At 32.0% G+C, this 14,885-nt stretch overlaps 1 protein-coding gene across 4 annotated transcripts in view; it reads right to left on the bottom strand.

Moving 5' to 3' along the window:
• KLHL1 (kelch like family member 1) overlaps positions 1-14,885 on the bottom strand; it is a 407,856-nt gene that overhangs the window by 239,691 nt on the left and 153,280 nt on the right. The gene's annotated exons all lie outside the window — the stretch shown is intronic.

A 14,885-nucleotide genomic window follows, 5' to 3' on the forward strand; every position in this document is an offset into this window, starting at 1 on the left:
ATGTATCATAACACTACACAAAACATTAGGCCAATCTGCTAGAACAGATCTAAACTGAGATTGGTAATCAAGATAAATATAACTCGGTAAAGGTCACCAATTGTTTTAAGAATTTTGCATTTCGTATTTCATGTAATATTCAAAATCACTCAGTAGATACAAATGCAGTTTCAATCAACATATCTGTATACACGTCAGCAGAAATGATAGTTCTTCCTTTGATTGTGAAATAAGGAAAATAGAAAAATAAGGTTCAGAATATATGCCTACAAACTTAGGAGAGCAGAGATTCTCTAAGTATCTGACAAGGTATATATGTGTATATGAATATAAAATATCTATTTGTGAATATTTAACATATGTATATACATTTATAAATGCATATGTTACAGGTTGGTAGTATTGTACTTAACCCACTGTACTCATGTTTAAAATTGTCTATAATTTTGGTTTTTAGTTTTTTCTTTGTTTTTGTTTCCCTGTTTGGTCATTTTATCTTAAAGGCAAAAAAAAAAAAAAAAAAAAAAGGCTCTTTAGTGCTTTAGTGTTTCCTCTGTTTTTCTAATATCCAGAATAATTTTTTTAAAGGGATCTGTTTGTCAAATGTTTATAGAACTTATCTTTGAAGTTTTATGGACTTAACTATCTGGAGTTACATTTTAATTAGTAATTCAATGAGTTAGATGATTTTATTATCATTTAGATTTACTATCTGTACCTAAGTGAGTTTTACAAGTTGTATAACTTGTATAATTGTACAATTGTATATACAATTGTATATAATTGTATAACAATGAACCTAAACTATACCCTAAAACAAATGGATTTAACAAATATTTACAGAACATTCTGCCCCTAAACTGCAGAATATATGTTCTTTTCATCAGCACAGGGAACATTCTCCAAGATAGACCAGGAACAAGTCTCAATCAATTTAAGAAAATCAAAACTGTATCAAGTATCCTCTCAGACCACAGTGGAATAAAACTCAAAATTAATTCCAAAAGGAAACCTCAAAACTATACAAATGCATGGAAGTTAATACTCTGCTCTTGAATGATCTTAGGGTCAACAATGAAATCAAGGTGGAAATTAAAAATTCTTTGATCTGAATGATAATAGTGACACAACTTATCAAAACCTGTGGTATACAGCAAAAGTGATGCTAAGAGGAAAGTTTATAGCGATAAATGCCTATAAATGCCTATATCAAAAAGTCCGAAAGAGCACAAATAGAGAATCTAGGGTCACACCTCAAGGAACTAGAGAAACAAGAACAAACCAATCCAAAACCCAACAGAAGAAAATAAATAACAAAGATCAGAGCAGAACCAAATAAAATTAAAACAAATAAACAAAAGCAATCCAAAAGATAAATGAACCAAAAAGCTGGTTCTTTGAAAAGATAAACAAAATTCTTAGATCATTAGTGAGCTTAACCAAAAAAGAAGAGAGAAGATCCAAATAAACTCAATTAGAAATGAAATGGGAGACATTACAACTGATACTACAGAAACACAAAGGATCATTCAAGGCTGCTATGAACACCTTATGTGCACAAACTAGAAAATCTAGAGATGATGAATAAATCCCTGGAAATATACAATCCCCCTAGATTAAATCAGAAAGAAATAAAAACTCTGAACAATCAAGTACTTAGATTGAAACAGTAATTAAAAAAACTCCCCCAAAATCCCAGGACCAGAGGGAGTCAAAGCTCAATTCTACCAGACATTCAAAGGAGAGTTGGTGCCAATCTTACTGAAACTATTCTAAAAGGAAAATCTTAAGAATTTTAAACCTGAGAAAATAATATCCTATTTTATTCATTTTTCTGAATCTTCTAAATTTGACTAAAGCTTGAATTGTTTCATTTATATTTTCATTTATATATATACATATTTTTTGCCTGAGTAAAGCATACATTGCAGCTTTTAATAATCAATGGCAGCCTTTAGTGCCTACATATAAGGAATGTCTTAGTTTATTGGTGAGCTTGGAAGGCAGGTTGCACTAAATTTGAAATTTGAATATAAGACTTTAGGAAAAATGTAATTTTATCTAACTCTAATTATGCTGTTATTTAATTGAAATTTAAAAGTATATTATTGCCAGTTTGTGTATATTTTTTAACTTTGTGATGTTACTACCATTTTCTCTTAGATTTCTCCTTTTCATCATGAATAGTTTTATGACATAATAAAAAGTTATCTGCTTTCAAAACTTTTGGACAGAATATTTATTAAGAAAGTCCTTTATGCATAATAACTATTTTTTCCATATCATATTTTGTTTTCTGAAATTTTTTAAACCTATAATAATTTGCAAAACCCACCCATATAACCTTCATCTGGCTTCACCCAGTGTTAACATTTTGCTATATGTATGTGTATGTGTGTATTTATGTTGTAGCTGCAAAATTACTTGAGAGCTACTTTCAGCCATCACATGTCACCCCTAAATGCTTCAGCATCTATCAGCTAAGAACAAAGGTATTCTCCAACAGAGTGGCAATATAATTATCATATATGAAATTTATATATTTGCTATGACATACACTTTCCCAAATGTTCAAATAGTTTGCTGTGTAGCTTTCTTTGATTTTTTAATTCAAGAGCTCATCAAGGATTATATGTTACATTTACTTGTGGTGTTCCTTTAGATTCCTTTTATCTAGAACTGTTCCTCTGCCATTTTTTCATCTATAAATTTATGTTGGTGAAGAATCCATACTAGTTGTTCTGCAGAATTCCTCCTTTTGGACTTATATTATTTCCCCTTTATTAGATTATGGTGAAGTTTTTTTCTTTTTTCTTTTTTGCAAGGACACCGTATAGGTGATCTTGTACCCTGCTCCATCATGATCAAGAGGCTCATGATGTCAGTGTGTCCCATTTTTGGTGGCTTTGAGTGTCATACAATGTTTTAGGCAGTATCTGACAGATTTCTTCATTTAATTTTTTTATAATTAAAGAAGAATTTGTTGGATGATAGATGGCTTTGCTTTCAAATATGACAACATGGTTAATAGATAAAAAAGACTATTATATTTTATTTATGACTTTCACTGAAAGTAAGACAGTAAAGAAATCTAAAGCATGCCTCCAAGCATAAAAGTGAGCTGATGAAGGAAAAAGAAGAGCAGATACACTGCAGAAAACAGGTTGGAAAATACAGTGATTAGAGTAATATGAAAATATGTTTATTATATATTAAAATATAGATTTGAATGATTTTAAGACTGATTACATGAGTACTATTGATATATATTTTAAGGTTTGTGAAATACCATAGCAAGCATGAGCAAAAAGTATTCTATAGGTTACAGAAACCTATATTTGTATATCAATTTTTGTTTCTTTTTGAAATGTGTATCTGCTGTTATAAAAATAAAGTTAAAATAGAGAAAATAATACAAACACATTAAAATCTGTTATTAATTTTAAACTGATTATAACACTTTTTTATTCATATATACCCTTCAACATATTGTTTTGACTTAAAACTTCAGAGGAATTTTACCTAAATTGTTCAGTAAAGTTGTCAAGAAGACGGTTGCATGCTTCTTAGCATAGATCTTGAGAGAAAATCAGACGGAAGACCTACATGCTGATGGCATGGTTTCTATTGACTTCATTTTACTGTGATTTTAGAATATTGGGAAGGTGACTTCCTGTAATCTAATTAACTATTTCTCTCAATATAATTTATGCAGAAAAGAATGAGCACAGCAGACCTGAACTACTACCATCCTCTGAAAGGCCTGCTTTCAAGGTTTGTTCCAGCTGGTATTTGAGAACTTAGATTTCAAGAGGATTCTCATCATTAACTGATAAAATCGACTCACTGTGCCTAAACTGTACAAACAATATGGTATATGAGCAACACCTTTTTTCCCTTCTGGGAGTCTGAAATTTTGTTCTGTGTTAGATGCAGGCCTATGCGATCAACACCTAATAAAACTCCAGGCACTGAATCTCTAGTGAGCTTCCTTGGTTGACATTTCACACACTTTGTCACAACTTATTGAAGGTAAAATTAAGTATCTTCAGTGGGACTCCACTGGAAGGGAACCCTTGGAAGTCTGTACCTGGTTTCATTTGGCCTTCGCCCCATAGGTAGTTTACCTTTTCTGATTGTGTTATGTATTATTTTGCCGTAACAATTCATAGCCATTTGTAAAACTACATGCTGAGTCTTGTGAAGTATCCCAGTTCATCACTGAACGGGGCGTTAGTCTTGGGGATCACCCAACATAGCATTCTAATCAGAAGTCCTGAGATGGTAGGGGAATGTAGAGACATGCTGTGCTTAGAAGCTCAAAGATCAATATTGCTAAGATTTCATTTCACACCAAATTAATCTATAGATGTACTACAATAACATTTAGAATCCCAGTAGACTTTCTGTGAAAATTGCAAAACTGATTATAAAATTCATATGGAAATACACGGACCTATATAATCCAAACAATTCTGAAAAATAACAAAGTGAGAATAAGAGCACTACCTGATTTTAAGACTGATTACAAAGTTCATGCAAAGGCACAAAAGTCATTTGAGAAAAGATTGTCTTTGAATGAGTCAGATATGTGTACAAAAACTTGTATTTGATGTATACCCCAAATGATATACAAAATTTACTCAAAATGGATCACGAAGCTAAATTCAAACATTAAACTATAAAACTTCTTTTTTTTTTTTTTTTTTTTTTTTTCAGATGGAGTCTCACTTTGTCGCCCAGGCTGGAGTGCAGTGGCGCCATCTTGGATCACTGCAACCTCCACCTCCCGGGTTCAAGTGATTCTCCTGCCTCAGCCTCCCAGGTAGCTGGGATTACAGTCACCCGCCACCACGCCCAGCTAATTTTTTGTATGTTTAGAACAGACGGGGTTTCACCATGTTGGCCAGGCTGGTCTCAAACTCCTGACCTGTCTTGGCCTCCCAAAGTGCTGGGATTACATGCGTGAGCCACTGCACCCGGCAGCTATAAAACTTCCATAACCAAACTTTGTTAATTAAAAATTTATTTGATAAAATATCAAAAACATAATTTCTCAAAGAACAAATGGAGAAACTAGACTTCATATAATTCCCTGCAAGACTGAGCTAAGATCATGCCACTGCACTCCAGCCTGAGTGACAGAATGAGACCCTGCCTCTAGTTAAAAGAAAGAAAAAAAAAAAGCCACTGTAAGATATATTATTAAAGGAATAAAAAGATGAACCATAAACCAGGAAAAAAGTTTGCAAATCATATCTGATAAAATATTATATACGGAATATATAAAGAATTTTCGAACTAAATTTTTAAAAAACTGGGCAAATGATTTATACAGACATCCCACAAAAGAAAATATATGAACAAAAAATGCTCAATATTATCAGTGCTTCAGAAAATGCACATTACAAACACAATGACATGCCACAACACCTCTATTAGAACTGCTTGTGGAAATGTGAAATGGTACAACTACTTTAGAAAACAATTCTGCAGTTTTATCTCTCCTATGATTCAGCCATTCTGCTCCTAGATGTTTGCTCAAGAGTAAAGGAAGAATATGCTGATACAAAGTCTGTACATGAATGTTTGCAGAAAATTTATTTTGCAATGGCCAAGAACTGGAAAGAACTAAAATGTTACATGACAGGTAAATAAATAAACAAAATTAGAGTATGCTTATTCAATGGAATACTTCATAATAATAAAAATAAAATAATTATTGATTATGAAATACCATGGTTACTTATGTTGAGTGCAAGATAATTAGGCTGAGTGAAAGAAACCAGACAGAAAATAAACACAGACTCTATGATTAACTTCAAAATTCTTGAAAATCCCAAAAAATCTGGTATGTAAGGAGTCAGATCACTGATGCTTATGTACTAGGTGGGGATAAGGAAGAACAACAAGATAGATTGCAAAAGGACATGAGAAAACATTTGACGATTATAGATATATTCATTACTTTGTGGTGAGTATATACATAAGCCAAACTTATCAAATTATACATTTTGTATATGTGCAGTTTATTATATCTTGATTATTCATCAATAAAGCTTTAAAAAAGAATACTCAACTGTATTTTCAAAATATATTTAATAAATGATTTGAGTTGACAAGTAGATAGAAACATTTTCTGAGTGCTTAAATGCAAAGAAAAATCAAACAAATATATGATATTATAATTTACATTGAGGATTGTGATTTTTTTTCTTCTTTGTTCTCCTTTTTTTTCTTTTTGAGACAAGGTCTTATTCTGTCATCTGGGCTGAAGGGCAGTGGCATGATCCTAGCTCACTGCATGCTTGAACTCCTGGGCTCAAGTTATCCTCTTGCCTCAGCCTCCCACGTAGGTGAGATTACAGGCATGCACCACTAGGTTCAGCTATTTATTTTTATTTTTGTAGCAATTAGGTGTTGCTATGTTGCCCAGGCTAGTCTAGAACTCCTGGCCCCAAGCCATCCTCTTGCTCTGGACTCCCAAATTGTTGTGATTTACAGGCATGAGCTACCATGCCTGGCCAATAATTTTTCTGAATGTTTGCAATATATAAAACATGATTATAGTCATGACAAGTCACATATGGTATTATTAGGTTGGTACAAAAGTAATTGTGGGTTTTGTCATTACTTTCAATGGGAAAATTGCAATTACTTTTGTACCAACTTATCATATGAAAAACATATTTTTAATATCTTAAAAACTTGAGCCTGCCATACAAAATTGTGTGTGTGTGTTGTGTGTGTGTGTGTGTGTGTGTGTGTGTGTGTGTGTGTGTGTGTGAAGATCTTCTTCCTATTCCGTCACTGTGGCTAATTCTTGTGTGTTTCCATCACCCCTTGTGAACATTCTGAACCCTGTTGATATCTCTATTATACTCTCTTCCTTTAAGCTCTTTCAGTGTTTCATTTGTTTTCTGCTGGGACTCTGACTGATAAAGTGAATATTGGATGTGGACAGTGAGGAATAAAATCCCAGAGGATTCCACATAGTTTGGCTTGGGTGTTCAGGCAAATGGTGTATAATTGACCATTTATATTGGAAAAGTATATTACTATATTTCTTTATATGTGTGTGTATTTTTACTTCCCAGATCAACACTTGAAAAAAGATCCAGAGGCAGTATGTCAATGTAATAACTTACAGGGTTTTTACGACATTTTCTTGAAACATATTTATTCAGTCTAAATTCAAACCCTTGATAATAATACACTTCATAATAATTTAGACAGATTTTTTTTCAGATCATCTCTCAATTATTTCCCCAAAAAAGAAAAAAAAAGAATTTTCACAAGATATATGTAGAATAATATTTTTATTTATTGCTAGCTTTGGAGGTTAAGTATTATAACCATTGTTTTTCTCAAAGAGTTTTAATATTTTATTTTCTAAAACTTGGACTATATCCAATGAAAGAATCCATTTGTTAAAGCCAGAAGTCACAAATGGAATATTAGCCAGTGTCAAGCTTCAATGCACACAAATTAAGCTACCTCATGCATGCTGTATTTCTCGGCCAGACCTAGATGTAAAAAGGCAAAAAGCAGCCAAGTATTTGACTTAAAAGTTAACTTTTAAAAAAGCATGAAAACTGCTAATGGAAAGAAAAGTAATTCTACATTTTCATTCACAGTTGATTTCAAGGCATAACGTTCTCAAATAAGCTTACTAAAAGGGAAAACCTACATGTTTTTAGTTAGATGCCATAGAAAACTGGCTTAAAAATACATGATAGCCATATTAAACTTGATATACGTAAGAAGTCAATGTTTCTAACAAAAGACAACTTTTAGAGATTGTTTTCAAAAAAAAATGAAATGTTTATAATCTCTCTTAGCAAGTCCAGAGGAACTTTGTCTCCAGAGTTAATTAATGAGACGGTCAACACATCATAAGGAAACAGGCATCTCAAGTGACTTCCTCAATTTCTCTCATAGTTGCCATAGTTTCAGGTTTCAGATTCAGACAGGAAAGCACGTAGCAGAAGAGTAACTATTTCTTTATGTATATATCTCTTACATCAGTGAAGAAACTTTTACCAAAGAATCCCCAGAAATTTTTCTCCATGCTGCCTTGGCAAAAATTGTGTCACATAATCATGCCTAACTCTATCATTATGAAAGGGGTGAAACACAAATAATTGGTTTTGATCCTATAAACTGCTTATAAAATTGGAGTCACCCTCCTCTGATTCAAGTGGGGGACTAAACGGGGAATACTTTTTAAATAGGGTTCCAATAAGGTGTGCTACATTTATCTACAATCACATCTTAAGTAAATGCTAAGGCCACTAAATCTTCCAAATATGTATGAGTAGACTTAAACTCTGTTTTTCTATAAGATATTTGAATTTATACTGCATTGACATAAAAATATGTAAAATAGAATGGGAAGGAAAAAGTGAAGTTTATAGAAGAATATGTATCAATGTGGTTCTATTTCTTATTAGACACATCATCCCCTATTAACAAATGCACAGAGTATCCATCTTTCATCTACAAAGTCTGTTATATTGAAAATGTATATTTCCAAAGGTATTGTTTTAGGAATGTGCATTCTACCAGAAAAGTGCAAAAACTGCCTATAAAATTCACAACGTAAATCAAATTTTATCTATCATCATTCTGTTAAATTGAAGAAGAAACAATATCAATGTCACTCTAGAAATTCAAACCTCAAAATTGACATTTTTAGTAACTCATAGGTATTTTAAAAATATAGTTTTATATGAAAATACTTCTAGATTTACAGAAAATTGCAAAGCTAGTACAGCGATTTTCCATATGACATATAACTGTTTCCCCCATTATTAACATCTTACATTCGTATGATATACGTGTTATATTAATGAACAAATATTGTTACATTATTATTAACTAAAATGTGTACTTCCTTTACATTCCTTAGATTTTTTTTTCTTTTCTTACCTAATGTCCTTTTTCTGTTCCAGGATCGCATTCAGAATAGTACATCTCATTTACTCATTCTGTCTCTTTAGGCAACTCTAGGCTGCGGAAGTTTTCAGACTTTCCTTTTTTTAATGATTTTGACAGTTTTGAGGAGTACTAATTTAATATTTCATAAAATGTTCTTCGATTGATATTTTGCTGATTATTAGACTGGGGTTATGAATGAAGTTTCTGTCTCATCCCATGCTATTTAAGAAACATTATCAACGTGACTTATCACTGGTGATAGTCATCTTGATCACGTGCGGAGGTAGTGTATGTCAGGTTTCTCCACTGTAATGTTATTCTTTAGTACCTTTACATACTGTACTCTCTGGAAGAAAGTCCCTATGCACAGCCTACACTTACGGAGGGGGGAGTTGTACTCTATCTCCATGACGGTGGAATAACTGGCATAAATACTTTTGAATTCTTCTATGTGGGAAATTTGTCTATTCTCCATCATTTATTGGTGTATTCAATTATTTATATCAGTCATTTCACAGGATTTTTTGAATAAATGTTTCAAAAAAGGAAGGAGAGTTAAAGGGATTTTAGTTTAGGCAATTTACACATATTTTTAACAGTTAACAATGACATTTAAATTTTACTGCAATTTAGAATTTTGCTGTCAAAATTATTCCTTATTGCAAATTTGTACCTCTTTATTGGCACTCTGGCCTCCTCTCTCTCTTGTCAGAGAGAAAATCCTAGTTGTCTTCTAAAAATTACCGCAAAATGATTTTAGAAAACAGAATACAAATTCTACCCATGAAATTCTATAATCCTAGAGCTAATTAATCTGTAAACCATGTCATACATGCCTTCCACCCACAAGAAAGACATGGTTATGTTTTTTGAGTACTAATTACATCTCAGAGTTCAAGAGAAACTGTTAGAAAAGTCAGAAAAGGCTATGCAAAGAGCAGTTCAAAAGTAGCTGCGACAATACAAGTCATTATTCGTTCTATTTCTGTCCACCTTATACCTATAAAAGTCCACTGCATGATAGGTAAGAATTAAACATGCCAGTAGCTCAAATTTACTTAAATTTCTTTAAAGCTACTCTAATTACATATCCATCATTTGAAGAGAACAAGGAATTGTTTTCAGAGTAAAAGCAACATTCCCTTGACTCACATCGATGCACAGGTGTTAAGCTCCCTCAACTTTAACAATAGAGAACATGTCTTATCTTCAAATTTATTATAGTTTATGACTCTGTCCCTAATCAACTCCATAGATTTTTTCCACTCTCACTAATTTCCATGGAGTTTAACCTAAAACAGCATGTCATGCAACACTCGAGGAAATTTTGATTGTAAGAACAGTGAAAAAATAATGATTAACTCATGGTCGTAGAAGTTATTTAAATCTTCACTTAAGTAACATAATTTGTCTATCTAAGCACCAGACTTATCACAGATATGTTCTTTTGGTCATTATTTTAATTTAGGATACCTTTATGTAGAACATATACTCTTGAATTCGGCAGAGATAATTCAATTCCCTTTAAAATAATTGTACCTTGAACCCAGTTGAGTTTGATTTTCAGATTTAAATATTCTGTTGCTTAATGCATGAAATTATTAGAGACTTGTGCTCCTGGACAAAATAATTTGAACTTGAATCAGCCCACAGAAGCAACAGTTCTATAATTCGTTGTTATATCCACTTTTGGCTAAATACTGAAGATGTCTAAAGCAGCTTGTATAGTGTTATATGTATATTTAAAATATTTTGAATACTCAAATGAAATATTTGTCTCAGATTTTAATATATCAACACCTGTGTTTATGGTGAGGAAAATGTTTGCCTTTAGTTTATAATATAACTGATTATGCTTACCTCTTTGTCTTGTTGACTGAGAAGAAAAACTAATTGGTATGTCATTTCTATGAATACAAACAGAGTTTTAAGACATTACTTATTGTGAAAATTACACCATAATTGTTTTGATTTGAATTTGAATGCCTTTCCCAGTATTTTTTGACTTACAAAGCCTTATACACCATGGATATTTAGAAATAAAACTAAGACAAAAGCCATAACTTGGCTTATGCAAGTGGCTTATTTTTTCTTTCCTTTATATTCTACATCATCAGGAAACTAGAAGGGAGATAGAAAGTGGTAAGTATAAAAGAAGGCAACTTCTACTGGCCAGATTTTCGCAAGTTAGTAGGAACATGTTTCTGTAGAACCAGGTTATACTGAAGTTATCTGCAGAGCTCTTCCGTCTTGAGATGCTTAAATATTTTATTCAGTGACTTTGGTGGATTTGATGTGGAAAGAAAAATGTTGGCAGTTTTAATAGTTTATCTCACATTCTGCCCAGATTGGGAGTTCTACCATCCTACCCTCTGTGAGGCCACCATACCCACTTCCTCTTTATTCTTGAGGTTCTGTGTTGACAAAGATTTTGTATTTTTGTTTAACAGGTAATTTTTTATGATGCTCTATCTTGGTTTCCAAAATATGCTTCATATGTTACCTCCTTACCTTGCTGCTACCATTATGGGTCATTTTTAAAGATCACCACTTTTATTTTCTGACTGCGAACATTCATGCCTTTCTTGAAATCTTCACATCTCATAATCCATATTTAAAATCAATATTTCTTAGCCCCAGTGAACTGTAAGTGCAATAGTTACAGAGTGCTGCCGAGGGAGCATACAGATACAGAATTTCTGATAAGTATGCAATTCTTTCTGAAAACACTATCCGAGCACATTGAGTTATGTCATAGATTATGTGACTGTTATTTCCCCTCTTGGATAGTGCACTTTGAAGCCATCTTAAGATGTGGAAAACTTAAGTTAAATAAATGTAAGCAAGGGGGTTTGATTACAAGGTTCTAAATATGTTTTGTTTAACTGAATCTGGCAAATAAAATAGTAATTTGTAAAAATGATTCAAAAATGTCCTATTACATCGTTTTTGAATTAGTCAAATTTGTCAGTTAATCAAAAATGCTCATTAATCAGAAAGCAGAGTGCATAGCCCAGGAAAACACATGAAAATAATCAATGGCATATGTTTCCAAGTAGTATTTACGTTTTTCAGGCATGGATCTATCAGGAATAAACTTATATTTTAGACAAATGCAAAATAGTTTTTACATTTTTTCTTGTAAGACTGAATCCCATTACCAGTCTTTAGAATTTCTTTATTAACTTTTATTCTGCATTATCCTCTCCTCTCACCACACCTAAACATTCCTTTAGAGAAGAAAATATGGGGTAGGACAGGTTCATCAGACTCATGTAAGTGCCATTTGGCTAGGACATTTTCTCTGGTTGAGTATTGTGACAGGAGTGAAATAATAGCCATAATATGCAGAGATGAAAACTCAAGTTCACAATCCAAAGGAATCAGTGATCAAGGTATTCCTTCAGAACATCTTCAGCATGCAGTTTACTTCCAGCTAACATGTGTTTTCCTGGTTGGATTGCACTTAGCATCCTTCAACTGAGGGAGACAAAGTGTTTAAAATTAAAGTGCTTCGTGTTCCCATTATAAGTGTCCTTTCCCAAGCATAATGGGAAAATGGACTCTTCATTAAAAATGGCTAAGTGGTAATTTACAGAAGTCTTAAGAAGGGTGAAATGACAGGGTTGTTTTGCTTGTTTATATTTGCTTGTTTTCCCCCCATACTATCAGCAAATCATATCATCTCTACCAAATTTTAAATGGAAGATATTAACAAATAGTCAAAACTGAAGTAAAATAATGTTTTCAAAGATGGTTATTATTTAAAAACATTTAGGAAATTGGTGCTTTAGTTGATTCACTTGTAAGATAAAGTTGAATACTGTGAGGCATAGCTAAGATTTGCATGGAAAGTTCTTGAAAATGTTAATAATTGAATGTTGTAATATTTTTATGATTCTTCTTCAGATTAATATAATAAAATAAAATTAGACTTAAAATTATGAAATTATGAATGCGCAAGTCTGAGGATAACATTTTAAATAGTGCTAAGAAGCATCAATGACAATTCTCCATTTGGGTATCATCTATGTAACTTCCTCAGGCTACTCATTTGATGTACAACAATATTAATTGTAAGAAAAAAATATATGATGCCAGTTGTTACTACGTCAATGGAAGGTCATGCTTTTCACTCAATGTGACAATGACATAAGTAATTATGAGCAGCGCTGCCTCTCATATTAAGCAGACAGAATGTTGAATAACTCTAGATCTAGTAGAAAAGATGTCAAAATGTCCATGGAAAAATTAGGCCATGATTTTACATCTTATAATAATTTTGTTGACATGTAAGCTAAGATGCCATTTCTGTATCTGACAATATGATATTGACTACCTACCTATCTCAGAATGTTGCTGTAAGGACCAATTAAGATAAAATATGATAAAATCATGAATATACAATAAAAATCCATCTCAAATACACAAGGTAGCAAAATTACAAGCTAGTTGTTTAAAAAATTCACCATTATACATGTATACCAAATCATACATCTGAATTAAAAAACATATAATGCTGAAACATATAATAAATTGGACTCAAAATTAATAAATGATTGATAAGCAAAGTGAATATCCTCTCCCAGTTCTCAGATGTTACTTTTATTCTTATGAAGGATTGTGAAAAAGATTTGAAAAAACTTATAAAATCACACATTATGAATAATCATCATAATTGAGTGTTTGCTGCATGCTAAACTTTATGCTAAACTAGCTTAATTTTATAAGTTTGCTCCTTAAAATAACCCTCTCACTTAAAGACTATTATTTTCCCTTTTTACATTTAAGGAATATTAAGACTTCATAAAGTTAAGTAATTTGACCAAGATCCATAACTGTAAAATGGAGAAGCCCAAGAGATATTTCAAGTACTTAATGAGAAGCAAGAAATAGGTGCATGCCAATTAGAATAAATGTCCAAGGATCAGAATGAACACTGGGCTGCCCACATCACACTGAGTGGTAGTTGCATATCAATTCAAGTGAAGGCCAAAATAAGTCCTGGATATCTAGTGTTAAGTTCTACACACTACACTTACAAATACAAAGGAATAAAGTGTATAAGTATTTTGAAAGTACAGGTGGAAAAAGCCTAAGAAAATATAGTGAACCTTATGATTAAAGTAGGAAAATACATAGCAGGTACCCTGAACACTTGGAAAAATGGTGATTGAATTCAATTCAATGATTCAATTCTTAGCTTCTCACAAAGTAAAGGAAAATGAAAACAATTATAAGACTGAGAGCAACAATAAAATAAAATCCAAACAGATTGTTTAAGGAAGTAAAGTTGATTATGGGACTCAAGAGATTTTTCTTACTTCAAAACCCAGAAAATAACTGTGACTTACACTGTGGTAGATACATAACCCTTACTCCTAAATATTAAAAGTCACCTAGCTATTTCTTTTGCAGTCTCTCTATTAAGCCCCATGGCACAAAGCCAAAACACTGTTCAATAACAACAACAAAAAGCTTCATAACAGTCACAAAATTGAAATAGTTTTTATTGTCTATTTTGGCACAATACTTTTCCCAAATTAGTTTCATACGATAGTACTAAATGTTTTACACACACACACACACACATTTTAAACATATATATGCATAAATGAAACAAGGTTTCTTGCTAAAATGATGGAAAGGTAAGGATTTAATTGTGATATAAAAATTATATTATTGATTTTATTTTTATTACTTTTATTTTGTTACTGAATATACAGGTTGTTTAAACACCCTCTGAAAATTGCTTAAATCAACACTTTTAAATAATGGGCAATAATAATACATAAAACCAGTCTTTGAAGGCTCAGTCTCTTAAATCAAGAATAGAATTTTCCATCTAGTAAAAGCCTTAAGTTTAAAACTAATAATGTACTAATGTGCTTGCATAATTCATGCCACTTGAATTAAACCAGTAATAAAAATGAAACAATAATTTA

This window comes from Homo sapiens, chromosome 13 (genome assembly GCF_000001405.40).
Source record: "Homo sapiens chromosome 13, GRCh38.p14 Primary Assembly".
NCBI lineage: Eukaryota > Metazoa > Chordata > Mammalia > Primates > Hominidae > Homo > Homo sapiens.